Source organism: Homo sapiens, chromosome 5, assembly GCF_000001405.40.
Source record: "Homo sapiens chromosome 5, GRCh38.p14 Primary Assembly".
NCBI lineage: Eukaryota > Metazoa > Chordata > Mammalia > Primates > Hominidae > Homo > Homo sapiens.
The window spans coordinates 132858166-132875191 of NC_000005.10; the positions used below are offsets into that span (position 1 = coordinate 132858166).

The 17026-nt window shown below is 43.9% G+C and overlaps 3 protein-coding genes across 14 annotated transcripts, besides 3 other annotated features; 2 read left to right on the top strand and 1 right to left on the bottom strand.

Annotated features, from left to right (window-relative positions):
• On the bottom strand, window positions 3020-8486 carry GDF9 (growth differentiation factor 9). 12 transcript variants are annotated; one of them, NM_001288825.4, is made up of 4 exons: window positions 8434-8486; window positions 7272-7307; window positions 5972-6215; window positions 3020-4391 (listed from the first exon to the last, which is right to left on the bottom strand). In NM_001288825.4, the coding sequence occupies exons 3-4, from the start codon at window positions 6102-6104 to the stop codon at window positions 3424-3426; spliced, it is 1101 nt and encodes a 366-aa protein (NP_001275754.1). In that variant the 5' UTR covers window positions 6105-6215; window positions 7272-7307; window positions 8434-8486; the 3' UTR covers window positions 3020-3423. The 12 variants fall into 12 exon arrangements, with proteins under 12 accessions (NP_001275754.1, XP_011541612.1, NP_001275757.1 ...); XM_011543310.2 differs by lacking the exon at window positions 8434-8486 and adding an exon at window positions 8349-8414 and having other exon boundaries at window positions 5972-6148; NM_001288828.3 differs by lacking the exon at window positions 8434-8486 and adding an exon at window positions 8349-8414.
• Window positions 7756-8955: an enhancer, noted in NCBI's record as "BRD4-independent group 4 enhancer chr5:132201613-132202812 (GRCh37/hg19 assembly coordinates)". NCBI's record gives its function as "activates an origin of replication core promoter dependent on BRD2, P300/CBP, MED14 and CDK7 cofactors, and independent of BRD4, by STARR-seq in HCT116 cells {active_cell/tissue: HCT116}" and the evidence as "EXISTENCE:reporter gene assay evidence [ECO:0000049][PMID:35650434]".
• Window positions 7814-8314: an enhancer, noted in NCBI's record as "NANOG-H3K27ac-H3K4me1 hESC enhancer chr5:132201671-132202171 (GRCh37/hg19 assembly coordinates)". NCBI's record gives its function as "activates a minimal SCP1, AML or CMV promoter by ChIP-STARR-seq in naive H9 embryonic stem cells {active_cell/tissue: H9 hESC(naive)}" and the evidence as "EXISTENCE:reporter gene assay evidence [ECO:0000049][PMID:30033119]".
• Window positions 8315-8815: an enhancer, noted in NCBI's record as "NANOG-H3K27ac-H3K4me1 hESC enhancer chr5:132202172-132202672 (GRCh37/hg19 assembly coordinates)". NCBI's record gives its function as "activates a minimal SCP1, AML or CMV promoter by ChIP-STARR-seq in primed H9 embryonic stem cells {active_cell/tissue: H9 hESC(primed)}" and the evidence as "EXISTENCE:reporter gene assay evidence [ECO:0000049][PMID:30033119]".
• UQCRQ (ubiquinol-cytochrome c reductase complex III subunit VII) lies at window positions 8477-10682 on the top strand. Its single transcript, NM_014402.5, has 3 exons — window positions 8477-8522; window positions 8704-8870; window positions 9323-10682. The coding sequence occupies exons 2-3, from the start codon at window positions 8717-8719 to the stop codon at window positions 9415-9417; spliced, it is 249 nt and encodes an 82-aa protein (NP_055217.2). The 5' UTR covers window positions 8477-8522; window positions 8704-8716; the 3' UTR covers window positions 9418-10682.
• Window positions 15503-16881, top strand: LEAP2 (liver enriched antimicrobial peptide 2). The gene is made up of 3 exons (NM_052971.3): window positions 15503-15586; window positions 15785-15924; window positions 16245-16881. Exons 1-3 carry the CDS (start codon window positions 15530-15532, stop codon window positions 16279-16281), a joined length of 234 nt encoding a protein of 77 aa, NP_443203.1. The 5' UTR covers window positions 15503-15529; the 3' UTR covers window positions 16282-16881.

A 17026-nucleotide genomic window follows, 5' to 3' on the forward strand; every position in this document is an offset into this window, starting at 1 on the left:
TACAAAAATTAGCCAGGCCTGGTGGCATGCACCTGTAATCCCAGCTACTCGGGAGGCTGAGACACGAGAATTGCTTGAACCCAGGAGGTGGGGGTTGCAGTGAGCCAAGATGGCGCCACTGCATTCCAGCCTGGGTGACAGACAGAGAATGAATAGACATTTCTCCAAAGACGATACACAAATGGTCGGTAAACACATGAAGAAATACTCATCATCATCAATTATCAGGGAAATGCAAATCCAAACCACAATGAAGCTACTCTGCCTATGGAGTAACTATTCTTTTACTTTTCTAAAAGTAATAAATAAACTAAACAAAAAACCACACACACAATGAGATGCCATTTCACGGCCATTAGGATAGCTATTTTATATAATATATATATATTTAAAAAGCAAATAAAATTATAAGTGCTGGCTATGAGGTAGAGAAATTAGAATACTTGTAAATTGCTGGTAGAAATGTAAAATGCCACAGCCACAAAGAATTACCATGTGATCCCGCAGTTCCATTTCTAGGAATAGATCCAAATGAACTGAAAGTGGAAATTCTAACAGATATTTGTAAACCAATGTTCATAGCAGCATTATTCACAATAGCTAAAAGGTAGAAACAATTCAAGTGTCCATTGATAAACAAAATGTGGTATGAATACAATGGATTATTCTGCCTTAATGAGGAATGAAATTCTGATATATGCTACCTGCAGGAGCCTTGAAAACATTATGCTAAGTGAAGTAAGTCAGAGATAAAAGGACAAATATTGAATGATTCACTTATAGGAAGTACCTAGAACAAGCAAATTTGTAGAGCTATAATAGAATAGTGGTTACTAGAAGAAAGAAATGAAGATTTTTAAATTAATTATTTTGAGATGGAATCTAGCTCTGTCGCCCAGGCTGGAGTGCAGTGGCGCGATCTCGGCTCATCGCAAGCTCCGCCTCCCAGGTTCACGCCATTCTCCTGCCTCAGCCTCCCCAATAGCTGGGACTACAGCTCATGCCACCACACCCAGCTAATCTTTGTATTTTTTGTGGAGACAGAGTTTTGCAATGTTGCCCAGACTGGGATTTTTTTCATGGGTAACTGCAAAACTCTGTCTGTTGCCCAGGCTGTGAATTTTTTTTTTTTTTTTTAACTCTACATGGGTAGAGTTTCAGATTGGAATGATGAAAAAGTTCAAGATAGTAGTGATGGTTGGAAATCAATGTGAATGTACTTAATGCCACTGACTTGTATACTTAAGAATAGTTAAGATAGTAAAATGTTGTTATATATATTTTATAATAAAAATAACAAAAAGGTAACCTATAGAATGAGAAAATAGTTGAAAATTGTGTAAGAAACATATCTAGAATATATAACTCTTACAACTCAATAAACATAACAATTAGAAAATGGGCAAAGGATCTTAATAGACATTCTTCAAAAAAGATACACAAATGGCTAATAAGCAAATGAAGAGATGCTTAACATCATTATCAAGAGAATGCAAATCAAAACCACAATGAGATACCATTTCACACCCACTTGGATAGCTAGAATAAAACAGTAAGTTCATTATACATTGTATGCTTATACCAAAATATCACATGTACCCTATAAATATGTACAACTATTATGTACCCATAGAAAATAAAAACATCCCCCAAAAGTCAGATGAGTGTTGAAAGGATGCTGAGAAATCAGAACCCTCGTGCACTGCTGGTGGGAATGTAAAATGGTGCAGCTGGTTTGGAAAACAGTCTAGCAGTTCCTCAAATGATTAAATGTAGAGTTACCATATGACCTAGCAATTCCACTCTTAGGTATGTACCCCAAAGAAATAAAACTTCTACATGAATTTTATTAGCATTATTTGTAATAGCTAAAAAATGGAAACAGCCCAAATGTCCAACCACAAATGGATAAACAAAATTTGGTATAGCCATACAACGAAATATAGTCACTAGAAAGAAGTACTGATACATGCTACAACACAGATGAACCTTGAAAACATGCTAAGTGAAAGGAGTCAGTCTATTTTATGATTCCATTCATATGAAAGTCCTGAATCAGAAACCTATGAATAAGTTCGTAGTTGCTTAGGGCTGGGAGTGGGGCAAGACAGGAAATGGGAGTAATAGCTAAAGCATATAGGGTTTCTTTTTGAGGTGATGAACATGTTCTAAAATTGATGATGGTGATGGTGTTCTATGTTTATAAATATACTATAAACCACTGAATTGTACACTTTAAATGGGTAAATTATATGGTATGTGCATATTTAATGAAGCTAAAAATAGCACCAAGAAAAGATCATTTACAAGAATAAAAAGTACTTATTACATCTAGGAGTTACTTTTGGTTTATACATCAAGGTTTTAGAAACTCAAACACAAAATCACGATATCAACCCTACCTCTGTGCCTCCAGGGCTCTCTCAAAATAGATATATTGAAAACCTACATAAAAACCCTAGCATCCACATAAGACCCAGTCAATAACATAACCAGTCACTACTGCAAGCTTAGTAGGAACAGTTATAAATCTATCTGGAAAAAAACCTGTGGGGGTGGAGTGGAGGGAGCTAAGCAAATCAGCAAAAACCAAACCAAAACAAAAAACCTTCCCTGGCTGCCTTTCATAAGGTCAGAGGTTTTAAATATATAAAGAAAAAAATACACTTACAAAGTCTTGTACGTAGGTTTTCTTGGAAAAACATGCAAGGCAATTTCCTTTACATGAATGGGACAAATGTTATATTGTTCTGTGTGACTCGATTGATTTATATATGCTAGTTAACAAGGAGAATTAGTATACTGTTCACCAATCACACTAAAGCAACGGAAATGGGTTACACTGCCTGCTCTCTAGTCCTAGTGAGTCTTAACTTCATGAGAATTTCGGTGACATTAGCCTCCCTTTCACTCTGAAAAAGGATCAAAAGTCGAGCTATGGCCAGCTTTTAGACACTTCCTCTCCCCCACTAAATGATCAGCTTAAAAGCAATATTTAATAAAACACACACAAAATTTATGCCATTGACAGAAATTTATTCTTCTATTAAGACTACAGCAATCTGAATTGCCTATTTATAGCTGCAAGTCCATCCAGGATTGATGCTAATTAAGGTTTTTTCCCTATCAAGAATAAGACTCCTATGAAAAGAAAAAAAATCACTCAAGGAAAAAAATGTAAAGTTCTCCACAATAATTATATTTCATTTAAATTTGGAAATAAAAAAAGGCTCTGTAGCAACAATTGATGTTATCCCTTTATCCTGATAGATGCCATAGAAGGTACTAACCTACACAGGCTCCTCTTTATATAACATATGCTACATTTAGAGACTTAATATATGAAGCTTTCTCTTGAAGGCACACATAGGCACACAGTAGTTACTTTGCCAAATAGGCTCAAGGTTTTAAGAGGACCATTTGTTAACGACAGGTGCACTTTGTAGCTATCATATCTTCGTACTCTTTATAGGCAATTGAGCCATCGGGCTCAATGGTCAAAACACTCAAGGGGCTGTATTTGGCAGGTACACATGACGGTCTTGGCACTGAGGAGTCCAGCTTCTCATAGATGATGTTCTGTACCATGGTGTGAACTGGAGAGCCATACCGATGTCCAACTGCCCTTGGACAGTCCCCTTTACAGTATCGAGGGTTGTACCTGTGCGGAGCCACAATCCAGTTGTCCCACTTCAGCTGACTAAAGCTAAGTCTAAAGTCATGGAGCTCACACTCATTTTGGGGAAGAAGAAATTGTCTGAAGTATTCACTCAGATTGAAGGAAGCTGGGCCCAAGGGCTTCTTCAATTCAGAACTGACAGTTTCCTGACCTCTGCGGTGACGGTGATGGGAAGATCTCCCATCCTCAGCAGCCTCTTCTCCCACAGGATAGGCAGACAGACTTCTCTCCTGGTCAGGACCCTGGGAAGGCCTCCTTTTATAGTGAAGGGAATACCAGCTGTGATAAGCCTGAGCACTTGTGTCATTCAAATATAAGATCAGTGAGGGGGACACCAGAGTCATGTTAAACAAACCATTCTGTGCTGAAGGATGCTCCAGCTGGTCTTTCATGCAAGTAAAATTTATAGACATGTGAATACTTCTCTTGTTGGAGGCCACTAAAGGTTGAAGGAGGCTGGTCACATCAATCTGAATCCATTTGTGTTTCTTTCCAAATTCAAACTGTGAGTTAAAGGTAAATGAGTATGGAGCTCTGCCGAGAGTCCTGCTAGAAGACTTTGGCTCCTTTATCATTAGATTGCACACACATTTGACAGCAGAGGAAAAAGAAACTGAGTTGTTGATATTGTACAGCAAGACTGACTTGAGTAAGTGTTCAACGGTAGTAATGCGATCCAGGTTAAATAGCAGTTCCACTGATGGAAGGATTCCTAAGAAGAAAAAAAATCTACCAGTAGTGCTTGAAAATCAGTCAACACAACAGGCAGTCAAGTCAAAGAATTAGTACTTCATAATATGCTTTCTCCCTTCTCTTTTCCCCACTTTCTCAAGCCTCAAAAAAAAAAATGGGGGTTAATATAGAAAAGGAAGGCAATTGGTATCATTACTAATTCCCAGCAACCTTACTGGACATTTTATCTCCAGAAAGTCAGATTTGGTGGTGAATCAAAGTAACAGGGAATCACTACATTCTGAAGTTTCATTTTTATTTTTTATTTTTTTGAGACAGGGTCTCACTGTTACCCAGGCTGGAGTGCAGTGGCACCATCATGGCTCACTGCAGCCTCAACCTCCCAGGTGCAACTGATCCTCCCACCTTAGCCTCCCAAGTAGCTGGGACTACAGGCATGAGCTACCATGCCCAGCTGATTTTTTGTTTTTGTAGAGACAAGGTCTCGCCATGTTGCCCAGACTGGTCTTGAACTTCTGGGCTCAGGCGATCCTCTCACCTCAACCTCCCAAAGTGCTGGGATCACAGGCATGAGCCACTGTGCTCAGCCTGAAGCTTCATTCTGAGTAATTTGCTCCAAACACAGAAGCAGCTGAGCTGATAAGGAAAGTAGTATTTTTCTCTTGGATAATCTCTAGAGGGAAAACCATAATAGAAACACTTATCAGACTTACTAAGATGACATTCTAAGCCCTAGTGAAGAAAGTCAATTTAAAACAATGTAATTGGTCCTAGTTAATTTAGAACACTTGAGATTAAAAACAGATGCTCTAAAACCACTATATTAAAATAGGATATTAAGGAAGCAGATACAACTGCCCTGTTGGGTTAGAATGGTTTTAAATCAAGAGCTGGTAGATATATACTTTTTTTTTTTTTTTTGAGACAGAGTCTCGCTCTGTTGCCGGGCTGGAGAGCAGTGGTGCGATCTTGGCTCACTGCAACCTCTGCCTCCTGGGTTCAAGCGATTCTCCTGCCTCAGCCTCCCGAGTAGCTGGGACTACAGGTATGCACCACCACACCCAGCTAATTTTTGTATTTTTAGTAGAGACGGGGTTTCACCATGTTATAATTTTTTAAAGCACCACACCCAACTGCTGAGTCAAACTGTGGACTGATACTTTGTTCTTGTAAGGGCCAACTGTTCAAAACGGGAACTTTAAGCTTTTCTCTCACAGAAAGTAACAAACAAGAGAAAAATATCCTATTTAACACATCACACCAATAGCTGTAAGAGATGTTTAAGGTCCATTTCTGGGCCAAAAGCTTGGTGGAACAGAAAGAGGTGCTAACATTCTCTAGCAGCACTTCCGCTCAGCCTTGAAAGCCATTAAGTCTCTGGTGTTGCTTTAAAATTCCATCATATTAGCCCACCTTAACCAATGAGAGCGTTAGGAATAAACAATAAGCTCAAGTCCCAGATTTGTTTCAACTGGATATTGAGTTTTATGCAAAATAAAATACAATTCAAGGAACTAGGCTCAGCTCCTTTCTGTAATTGAAATGCAGAAGTGTCTATCATCTTCCCTCCACCCAGTTAACCAATCTGCTTTCACATACCTGTTACCTGGTCTCCAGGAGCCTGCTTGTGCCGGGTACAGGGGGTGAAGAGCCGAACAGTGTTGTAGAGGTGACTTCTATTGGATTTAGGAATCCCTTCCTTGGTAGCATATGTCTTATAGAGCTTCTTCATGTAGTGCAAAGCTCTGGAGTCTGGCTGCAGCCTAGGTGACCCACCTCGCCCAACAGATAGAACTTTGAAAAGCGCGGGAAGGAGGCCAGCTCTGTCTCTCTCATCTATATGCTGCAGCAAGGACCAAGGCATAGCCCCAGATTCCAACTCAGCACTAGCAGCAATCTGAGCTTCTCCCCCAGAAGCCTGAGAACCAAGGCTAATAGGAAAACACAGCCAGGCAAAGCAGCAAAACCAAAGGAGGAATTTGTTGGGACGTGCCATGGCTTGGGAGAACTAGTGAGGAACATATTTCTCCATGCCAGTCCTCTTCCTAAAGGCCAGGAAGAGCCTAGCTTGGTCTCTTAAATAAATTTCAGGTGTGTGGGTGGACTACGGTCACTTCTGTAATCAGGCCTCAAGTATGCCTAGCTGAAGATTTTATCAGCTCTATATCAAGCAGCTGATAACACCTTATTTAGCCAATTTGTTAATTAGATACAGATTTACTTGGTTATTTAGCTTTCCTCTCTTTTCCCCTGGCATTTACGTAAAACCCGTTACTGTTACACTACCGGACTAACTATGTAGCTGAAAGTCTAAGATAAATTGAGGAATGATCTTAAATAAAATCTCTCATTTTTTGAGAAATTTGGATTAAGATGTTCGCTAGGTGCTTGCTGAAACTTCTAAGGCATGTGGAAAAGCTAACCAATTATTCATGACGATACTCAGATCTGCTGGTATGCAACTTATGGTATTAGGTTTACTCTTCCTCTCAATTTATCCTCACGGCCTTTTCCACTTCCAGGTGTTTACAATTGTAATTATTCGCTGCATGTTAATTTGCGAATTTACAAATTTGGGTGAGAAAGTCACAATTGGCATAGAAGTTCCAGAAAGCAGAAAACCATTAGGTCTCTCAGTCCTCCCAGGTGGCTGGGTACAGAATACGTACTTGGAGTACTGGAATTGTATTTGCGATGTTCTTAAAAGAGGACACCGCCTTTAACCTTGACTTATTTTTAAATGTAACATACTGATGTCCTTACTTTGGTCTGCACACTCATCTATACATATTTTGGTTGAAAGGTTTTGGGATGTTTGCAGATGCTATAAAATAAATGAACGTTTTATTATTATTCATCCAAATGGTGGTAGAATTTGCCACAATATTTCTGTCCTTACCTGTATTTCTGTTCTTGCCTTGGAGCTGAGACCAGGCTAGACATTATGGTTTAAAAAAATGAGGCAAAGGAGCACCATGAAAAGCTGAAATGAGGGGATATTCAGCGCCACCCCGAAGGAGACTATGCTGGAAGAGTCAGCCTACACTCATAGTGCAAGATACGAAGCCAGTTTGTGCAGTACCTACATGAGAAAACTAAGGTATGTCTGCAAAATACAAGTTGACTGCCTGCCGAGCCTCCGTGGTCCGTAAGTAGTGTTATAAAACACAGCCAACTGTTGAATGAGAGCTTAGTCCTAGATAAAATATGGCCAGCAATTCCATTAACAAAACACTGACAAGACACCTCAGGGCGAGCTGTACATTGACAACAGCATCGTCAAGCAGAATGCACTTCAGGGAAAACATAATAAGGCCTCTCACCCGACTTTCCTTGCTTCTCACGTGGGGAGAAGAAAGAACTGGGGCATCGTGATTCCCCCCACCCCACGCAAACCATCTGGGGAGGACGCTGGCTGCTGTCGAGGCGGCCTCAGCATTCATCAATTGACGATTATTTGATTATTTTTGTGGCTGAAACTGACGAAACGTTTGTATTATCTCTTGGGAACGTTAACAGCCTGCCAGGGGACTCTAAAACAGAGTCCAAGAGAAGCCTTCGATGTGTGTCCCTGATTTTGGTGCTGGGGTCGCTCATGGCCTGAAAATAACGAAGCCCCCTTTGAGCTACTGGCCAAGGCCAAATGAAACCTCGTGCTCCTCTGCTGTGGGGCGGCCCGGCCTCGGGGCTCAGAGGCGCTCTGTCTACAGCTGGGAAGACTCGCAGGCCCCAAGCTCCTGGCCAGCGCTGCCCCGGAGGTCGGCAGGCCCCTTCCTCGTCACCTTTTTGTTCCCTCCCCCGCCTCCCGCATTCGGCCGCTTCCTGACTGGGATTCCACAGAAAAGCCGAGGGCTGAGGAGAAGTGTGAGCGCCTCCGCCTGTCCACTGTCCCCCAAAGTCAGTTCAATCCCCGACGTCCTCCGCTAGGCTCCACCCCACCGGCCCGGGCAGGGCCTCCAAGGCACCTCCCACCTACGGGTCACCCAGTCAGCCCACTTCTTTCTGGGACAAAGGCGTCATCCCTTAGAGACAGTAGGAAAATGGTATCTCCCGGAAGTTACCTCACGACCTCCAAGAGCGGCTTCCAACCTTGCCGGAAATGACGAACGAGTCAACCGGATCGGTGACTGTGGAGGGCGAGCTGAGCCCTGTGCGTGAGTGGGGTCTGGTTGTGCAGTGTTCGTGGACCCTGGGAGGCTAGGGGCGCCCCGCTGGGCTGGGAAAGGATAAGGAGTGCAGGGGCAGGAGTCTGGGGTTGGGGATGGACCCCCGCGGGGACTGCGGCGCTTCGCGAAAGCGAGCCAAGCGCCTGTCCACCCTCGGTCCTGCAGGGCCGCCGCCACAATGGGCCGCGAGTTTGGGAATCTGACGCGGATGCGGCATGTGATCAGCTACAGCTTGTCACCGTTCGAGCAGCGCGCCTATCCGCACGTCTTCACTAAAGGAATCCCCAATGTTCTGCGCCGCATTCGGGAGTCTTTCTTTCGCGTGGTGCCGCGTGAGTGCCTTGGGCCCGCGGGAGCGGGAGGCTGGACCCCAGCAGCAGCAGCAGTCACTGCGCCTCCCCTCTGAGCGCTGGCGGCCGGGCAGGCGCTCTGTAACTTGCCGTACACACCTTTCTCATTGAATATTCCTGACCGCCCTTAAGCTGGTCATATTATCCTCCCCATCTTACACGGGGAAAACTGAGCTACAGAACTGAAATGACTGGCCCAAGGTCACTCGGGTGATTCCAGCATGTTCCTCTGAGGTCACCTTTATTTAGTTCTTACCAGTGGTGAAATGCTTTGTGTTAAACGTGCAGCAGATAGTGATGATAGTTGCATGGCCTTGGATATGCTAAGAACTACTGAAGTGTATGCTTTAAAGAAGACAAGAGGACTGAGACCTTTTTTTTTCTTCTATATGTCTTATATGTGTGCTCTCTGTTTACTCTCTTAATTTTTAAAGAGTTTGTAGTGTTTTATCTTATCTACACATGGGGGACTGAAGAGTTCGAGAGATCCAAGAGGAAGAATCCAGCTGCCTATGAAAATGACAAATGAGCAACGCATCCGGATGACGGTTCCCTGTCTCTGAAAGACCTTTCTCTGGAAGAGGAGTCTGCATTGTAGTGTCTCAAAGACACAATAAACTTCCTATGGTCTGCACTGTTGTGATATTACATTTTTGTGAGTAGAATCCTGTGTGACCACTAATATTCAAGTTCATGAAGCGCCCCTCCTCAGCATGAGTCTTGAAGTTTTGCCTGGTCTCGGGTTTTGGTGAAAGAGCAGGGCTCCCCCTTTGTTCCATTATCTACAAGAAAGTAGCTGCAGGTACTCCTGCATCTAACCATTTGTGGGTGACATGGGCTATGGCGAGTGCTGGTTCTTGGCCCTCTGCTCCCATAGCAACAATAAAGTCTACTAACTATATTGTAATTAGTATGTGTCAGGGACGCTTTTATTTTTTATTTTTTGAGATGGAGTCTTGCTCTCTCACCCAGGCTGGAGTGCAGTGGTGTGATCTCGGCTCACTGCCATCTGTGCCTCCTGGGTTCAAACGATTCTCCTGTCTCAGCCTCCGAGTAGCTGGGATTACAGGTGCAGGACACCACACCTGGCTAATTTTTTGTATTTTTAGTAGAGACAGGTTTCACCATGTTGGCCAGGCTGGTCTGGAACTCCTGACCTCAGATGATCTGTGCGCCTCAGCCTCCCAAAGTGCTGGGATTACAGGCGTAAGCCATGGTGCTCTGGGCCTCAAATACTCTTCTTAGCTACACAAATGAACTGTTAAACCTCACAAGCACCTTTAACGTATCCTCATTTGGCAGATGAGGAAATGGGCACAGAGAGATTAAGTAATTTGCCAGAAATTATACAGCAGTGAATGGTGGAGTCTTGCACTAAAGTGATGCTCTTAAAACTATGCTCTATTGCAGGGGTGTCCAATCTTTTAGCTTCCCTGGGCCACACATAAAATACGCTAACATTACAATAGCTGATAAGCTTTAAAAAATGGCAAAAAAAACCCTCAGCGTTTTAGAAAGTTTACAAATTTTTGTTGGGTCGGATTCAAAGCCATCCTGGGCTGCTTGCTGCCCAGGACTGCGGTTGGACAAGCTTGCTCTACTGCCTTTCCTCCTAAGGCAGGCCTTAGCCTGAGGGGATATCAGCTATAAAACGGATGAGGTGATCTCTTAGCCTCCACAGCAGTTTTCTGTTTCTGTGCCAGGAGGCCAACAATGTTTTCAACCATATGTGGTTCATAAAGCCTCAAAGATTTACTCTGGCCCTTTATGAATAAAGTTTACCCCTGATCTAAAGCCTTTAAATTATCTTTTTGGTATTAAAGATACCATTTTCCCTTCGCCCACCGAGAGATGGTGGGGGTAGGTGTGGTTGGCAGTTTTATGCCTCTAGTTCCTTAGAGAGGCTTCTCTCTAAGCTTCGGGACATGGATCTCACCTGTGGTAGCAGGTATGTGGAATATGATGAGTTGTCATAGCTCAGTCAGTACAGTATATGCTATGGGATCTGAGATCCGTTTTTAGAAACTCTTCTAAGGACTCTTCCTGCTAGCAGCAACTTTGATTCTGGGTCAGACTGTGTTTTTTTTTTTTTTTTTTTGAGATGGGAGTCTTGCTCTGTCACCAGGCTGGAGTTTAGTGGCGCAATCTCAGCTTACTGCAACCTCCGCTTCCCGGGCTCAAGTGATTCTCCTGCCTCAGCCTCCCAAATAGCTGGGACTACAGGCGCATACCAACACACCCAGCTAATTTTTGTATTTTTATTTTTTTTTTTAGTAGAGACGGAGTTTCACCATGTTGGCCAGGATGGTCTTGATCTCTTGACCTCGTGATCCACCTGCCTCGACCTCCCAAAGTGCTGGGATTACAGGTGTGAGCCACCGTGCCTGGCCAGACTGTATCTTTATTATCCTAATTACTGCTATTGCCTTTTAAGAATCAAAAGTTAAGATACTTCAAAACATGGCCGGATACAGTGGCTCACACCTGTAATCCCAGCACTTTGGGAGGCTGAAGTGGATGGATCACTTGAGGTCAGGAGTTTGAGACCAGCCTGGCCAACATGGTGAAACCCTGTCTCTACTAAAAATATAAAAATTAGCTGAGTGTGGTGGCACACGCCTATAATCCCAGCTACTCAGGAGGCTGAGGCAGAAACGCTTGAACCTGGGAGGTGGAGGTTGCAGTGAGCCAAGATTGTGCCACTGCACTCCAGCCTGGGTGACAGAGCGAGACTTCAAAACAAAACCTAAAAGATAAACTACATTGTGAGGCAGGATACGGGGAAAAGGCTGAGTCTTACAGTCTTGGGCTCGTCCTCTTAGCCCGTCACTTCCTCATTATGTGATATAGGCAAGAAACCTACTTTCATGAGCCTTAAGCTTCTCACCCATAAAATAGAAATATTATAAAGTTCTTGGGTTGTGGTGATGGTGAAATGAGTGACAAGTGTCTGGCAAGATGGTACGGGCTTAACACAGGGCAACTAACTGAGGAACTCTTCTACCTCACCCCCAAAAGACAGTCCAATTTTCCCATTTGCCTCTTTGTCCAGATTTATTCCCAGGTCTTGCAACATATTTGGGTCATAGACTTGAGAATGATGAAAACTGTGGACCCATCCTTACCTTGCATAGCTTCAAAGAGTTCACAGCCCAGAGGAGGACCACTGCTTTGAGAGGCCGTTAATGTCTTTCTCCCTCTGGTGTTTGCCCCAACCCGCCGAAGTAGACGGCCACCCTCTCCCATCTTGCTCACCTTGTTCTACACTTAGACTATTTCTCCCTGGTTCTTTGACTCCTTTGGAGAGACCAGCTCAAAAGATCCAAATCCCTTTTCTCAGCCCAAACCAGGCACCAAGCCTATTCTTTTTATTCCAGGAGTGCTCTACTGAGATGACTCTGCCGTAAGCCCTGTGATGTGTGGAGCTTCTGCTTTGGATGAAATTAGTCTGCTTTAAGCCTGTGTCTCATCAAAGGGCTTCCCTCTCTAAGCTTGGGGAAATGGATCTCACCTGTGTGGCAGGAGTGCTGAGGTGGTGGGTGTGTGGAATGTGGTGAGTTTTAGTAGTTCAGTGCTCCTATACATGACCTGGGATCATTTTAGGGGACATTTGCAGAAATCCTCAGAGGAGAACCTGAGTAAAACCTTTGAAGGAAAGACAGCTGCTGTGGGCTTCAGTGCTGGTAACCCATCTGGAGCCTCCAGTCCTGGGTATGGATCCCTTACCTGCTACTCTGGCACAACCATTTGCTCCATTTGACCTTTCTTTTTCCAAATGCTCCTGCCCCCACAAGCGTTTTTATCTATGGGCTGCAGAGTCTGATGAAAGGAATGCCCTTGCTCTTTTAGTTTGCAGGCAGTCCTCAAAATGCAGGCCTAAGGTAGGCCCAAAAGTCTATGCCAGTTCCAGCTAGCAAAAAAGCAAATACACCTTGACCTTTTGTTGAAATTTTACCTGGTAAAGTTTTTCCATTTCAGAGTCTTTCATCTTTTATTAGGCACCTCCTGCTTAGGGACAGCAAAAAGTTTCCAATTACTGCCAACTCCTAGTGATCGACCTGGAATGTGTTTCAAACAGCTGCTCATGTAGCTATACCCTCTTTCTCCCATTTCATCCTAAGCATTTGCCTCAGAAGCATAAAATCTCTTGAGAGTTGTATCCAGAGTTACCAAGCTCTCAGCTATCAAATCTGCTTCAGTCTCATTTTCTTCTTGTAAATTAGTCATTTGAACCCCCAAACTGACAGAATAGGAGACTAAAGCCCAAAAAGGGGAAGGGCTGGCCTATGGGCAGTTGCACTCTGTAGACCCCAGGCTACTGCTTACCAGCCAAGCATTCTACCTTCTTACGGCTGCAACTGTTAAAGGCTACTTAGGCCTTTCTATTGGATGAAGGAGCATGCAGTTACGTGTATATTCACTGAGCAAAATACTTGATTGTAGAATCCATGAAATTTTTTTTTTTTTAATTTCAAGAAGAGGCCTTCACAGTCTCTCAAGTATGGGATGGCTGTGGACAAATACTGCCAATTCAGCTAACTGCTGCCTGGATGTTGCTTTGAGTTTGATTTTTGCTCCATACTTAACTAAAACAACTAGCATTCACGTAGACATGTTAAAATACTTTCCCCTTCCCCAACAGTGGTTCCTTCCACAGACAGTGACTAATGGTTTTTTCTTTTGGGGAGAGGGTGGCATACAACATAGAGGCTTGAACCAAAGGCCTCTGCAATGTTGTCACACTCATGAGGATGAATGGTCCTTTCCGCCTACACACAGAGGGGCAAGGGCTTCAAGCTCTTTCTTTCCTTGACTGTGTTATCAGCTTTACAAATTAACACCATGCTAGTTTGATCCTGCTAGAAGTACAGGAAGGCAGAAATGGAGGATTAGGAGAATTACTCATCTTTTGGATGAACAGTTTCCAAATCCCATTTGGCACATCACTCTAGACTGGTAAAGGGGAGGCTGACACTGAGGCCACAGACCCAACTGGCTCTAGGACATCACGTTGTTCAGTCCTTTGCTTATCTAATCATTTGTGTTCTTACCCAGTGCTCACTAGGTCACCCACATAGCCACTTCCCCTCCCAGCAAAAGTTCCCAGTTTAGGCACCTGTCTGGGATCATCCAGTATCCAAGCTTAGGGGTGAAGGGAGGGAGCAGAGAACTAGTCTCAACTGGTTCGTTGGTATATAGGTCTCTTCTCAATGTTCCTAAAGTGCATGCAGTGGCATCCCCCTCAAGGCCTGGCTCCATGATTCTGAGAGGACTAGAATCAGGACAGTCAGATCTGTGGTCACATCCTGCCCAATTCCAGCTCTGAGGTCCATCAAACCATCTGCTTCTCCCTTGGCAAGAAGCTCCCTCTGTCTGACTGGCAGCAGGGTCAGTGGCCATCCTTTTCTACCTTCAGCTGTTGTGCATCTCCTCCACGTTTTCCTGGAGTAAAGGAACAAGCAGGTTCTTATCCAAATACCCAACCTGTGAAGATGAGACGGCCCTTGGGAAGAGGTATTAGCCAAGTTTTCAGTATGATGCCCGGCAGAAAGAATTTGTTGTCTTTGTCTTAAGCTTATTATCCTCCCAGGTCATAGGAAGATCTAAAGTCCAATCAGTCTCCTTACTCAGAATTCACAGCTTTCCCCTCAAACTTAAAATGCCCATGTCATTTCACGAGTACCCATAACTACCCATCGTTTAGATACATGTCCTCCCTTGGTCTAGAAATCTGCAGCAGTTCCTACTTAAACTGATGGATGCTTTGGGCTTTGGAGGTATCTCATCCCTATGCCTGTTGCCCTGAAGCTGCCGGAAGGAAAGGCCCCACTCAACTACTGGGAAGAAAGCCCATAATTCAAGGCTTTTAATACAGTCACTACACAAGCTCTCCCTCTGATTTAGGAGATCTTGTTACCTCCTCATCTACATGTGCTTAAAAACAAAAAGAAACCTATAATTATTCAATTCACCTGTGGTCCAAATAAGTCTCACATCCAGCCATTCCCCTGAGAGGGCAGGAGGCCAGACTTTGAACTTTCCACAGCTGGGTCTTCATTTTACTAGTGAGATAAAGAGGTGCAGATTAGGGTGACAGTCCATCTAAGCAAGTGGACGATCTGGGGAACTGTAGGCCTTGCTGAAGCATCCTCCCACAGAAAGGAGATAAGGGCCTTATCCAATTGGCTGTACACAATAGATCAGTGCTTCTTTCCTAGACAAGGCTGAAAGGGGCCAACATTATTTCTGAAGACTTCATTATTGGAATTCTATGGGAGTGATCTCACTGAGCTATTTTGGAATAGAAATGTGGCTAGTTGCCTGACCTCCCTCAATGGTTTCACGTGGCTTTCAAAGGGAAGGAAGGGCAGTGCTGACTTTTGGTAAAATGGGCGAAAGGGTCCATGCCAGCAACACAATCACTCAAAGTCCAGATGAGGGATCAGTAAATACAACGTGCCTGAAAGGTGGCCCTTGAGCACATTCCTCCGGTAGACATTAACTTATTAAATTGATTCTGATTACAAATATAAACTTTGCCCCCATCTCACCCAGTAACAATGCAAGAGTTGATGTCAGTCTATAAAAGGAAGTAGGAACTGTCCCTGGCTTTCAGGCTCCAACATCCTCCCCCTGTCAAGATGTGGCACCTCAAACTTTGTGCAGTCCTCATGATCTTCCTGTTGCTGTTGGGCCAGGTAAGGAGGGAAGGATACTTATGTGTGTGTGTGGAGTGTGGAGATGATAGTGGTGGTGGAACTTGAAAGCTAGATTCAGTCCTGAGGAATGGTTCCTCTGTTCTGAGTCTACAGCATCTGCGGAATGGAATGATCACTCTTCCAAGGTGTGCAGCAGGGTGTCAACACTTTCATATCTGAATGTCTTTGCCCTTACAGATAGATGGCTCCCCAATACCAGAAGTGAGTTCGGCAAAGAGAAGGCCACGGAGAATGACCCCATTTTGGAGAGGGGTTTCCCTCAGGCCTATTGGAGCCTCCTGCCGGGATGATTCTGAGTGTATCACAAGGCTATGCAGGTACTCCCTGAACCTGGGAGCAGGGTTGGGCCAGAGAGCCCTGGGAAGCTGGGCAGAGGAGTGACAAGGGGACACATGAACCTAAGAATAAAGCTGGGATGGAGGAGTTCTAGACTGAGACTGGGAGCTCCATGGAAAATCCCTTAGGAGTTAGGAGCCAAGAACAGCTCTATGTGGGTACCATGAAAGAGTGGTGCCTTTCCATTCTTCAGTCTTTCCTGAGACTGGACAGATCAAGCAAAGAGGAAGGAAATGCAGCATAGGTGGCCCTGGTCATTCCTAGACCCAGTCTTAAAAAACTACCCTTTCTTTTCCCCTAGAAAAAGACGCTGTTCCTTAAGTGTGGCCCAGGAATGATGTACATACCAGGGAAAGAAAGGACAGCAGTCACCTCCGACAATGCTCCGTTCTATGGAATATTGATTAACTGCATTTTGGCTGGAGACACCCAAGTGAAGCAATCTTGTATTTTTAATATTTAAAGGCAGATGTACGCTTTAAATTGGTCTCCATTTCTTCTTAGAATGTTGATATATGGATAAGCATAACTAAACTTGTCAATTTAGAGTTTATTTTTCTATGGATACTATTAAATGTCTCAAATTGAAATTTTAGCAGTCTGGAATTCAAGCTTTTGAGGGAAAGAAGGATTCATTTTGTATACTAAAGAAAAAAACAGCATTGCCCAATAATGTGTTAACTTCTCAATCTGGAAAGTGTAGTGAGAGCTACATAATCAATAGCTACGTAATCAACTTCAGCAAGTTCCTAAGCTGTGGCCCTGGATCCCTTCACTCCATACTCTTCAGGGAGGTGTCAAAGGTGGTCAAGCTTGGGAGGCTGAGGCAGGAGAATCACTTGAACCTGGGAGGTGGAGGTTGCAGTGAGCCAAGATCATGCCACTGCACCCCAGCCTGGGTGACATAGAGAGACTCTGTCTCAAAAAAAAAAAAAAAAAAAAAAGATGGTCAAGCACTTGCCATCTAATGAAGCACCCAGGTTTGTCTATGGCTGTCTGAAGATAAGGCAGAACAGAGAGAAAAATCTAGTTTAATAAAGCAATGAAAGCCCAAGCCACCAAAAGCACCAAAAGAGATTTAAG

Bases quoted from the DNA above. Each gene is read 5' to 3' on its own strand.
- GDF9 (XM_047417094.1), bottom strand. From the start codon at position 6,368: ATGGCACGTCCCAACAAATTCCTCCTTTGGTTTTGCTGCTTTGCCTGG. The intron at 4,392-5,971 runs GTATGTGAAAGC...TTTTCTTCTTAG, and splicing joins TCCTGGAGACCAGGTAACAG to GAATCCTTCCATCAGTGGAA.
- UQCRQ (NM_014402.5), top strand. From the start codon at position 8,717: ATGGGCCGCGAGTTTGGGAATCTGACGCGGATGCGGCATGTGATCAGC. The intron at 8,871-9,322 runs GTGAGTGCCTTG...TAATTTTTAAAG, and splicing joins TTTCTTTCGCGTGGTGCCGC to AGTTTGTAGTGTTTTATCTT.
- LEAP2 (NM_052971.3), top strand. From the start codon at position 15,530: ATGTGGCACCTCAAACTTTGTGCAGTCCTCATGATCTTCCTGTTGCTG. The intron at 15,587-15,784 runs GTAAGGAGGGAA...TTGCCCTTACAG, and splicing joins TCCTGTTGCTGTTGGGCCAG to ATAGATGGCTCCCCAATACC. The intron at 15,925-16,244 runs GTACTCCCTGAA...CTTTTCCCCTAG, and splicing joins TGTATCACAAGGCTATGCAG to AAAAAGACGCTGTTCCTTAA.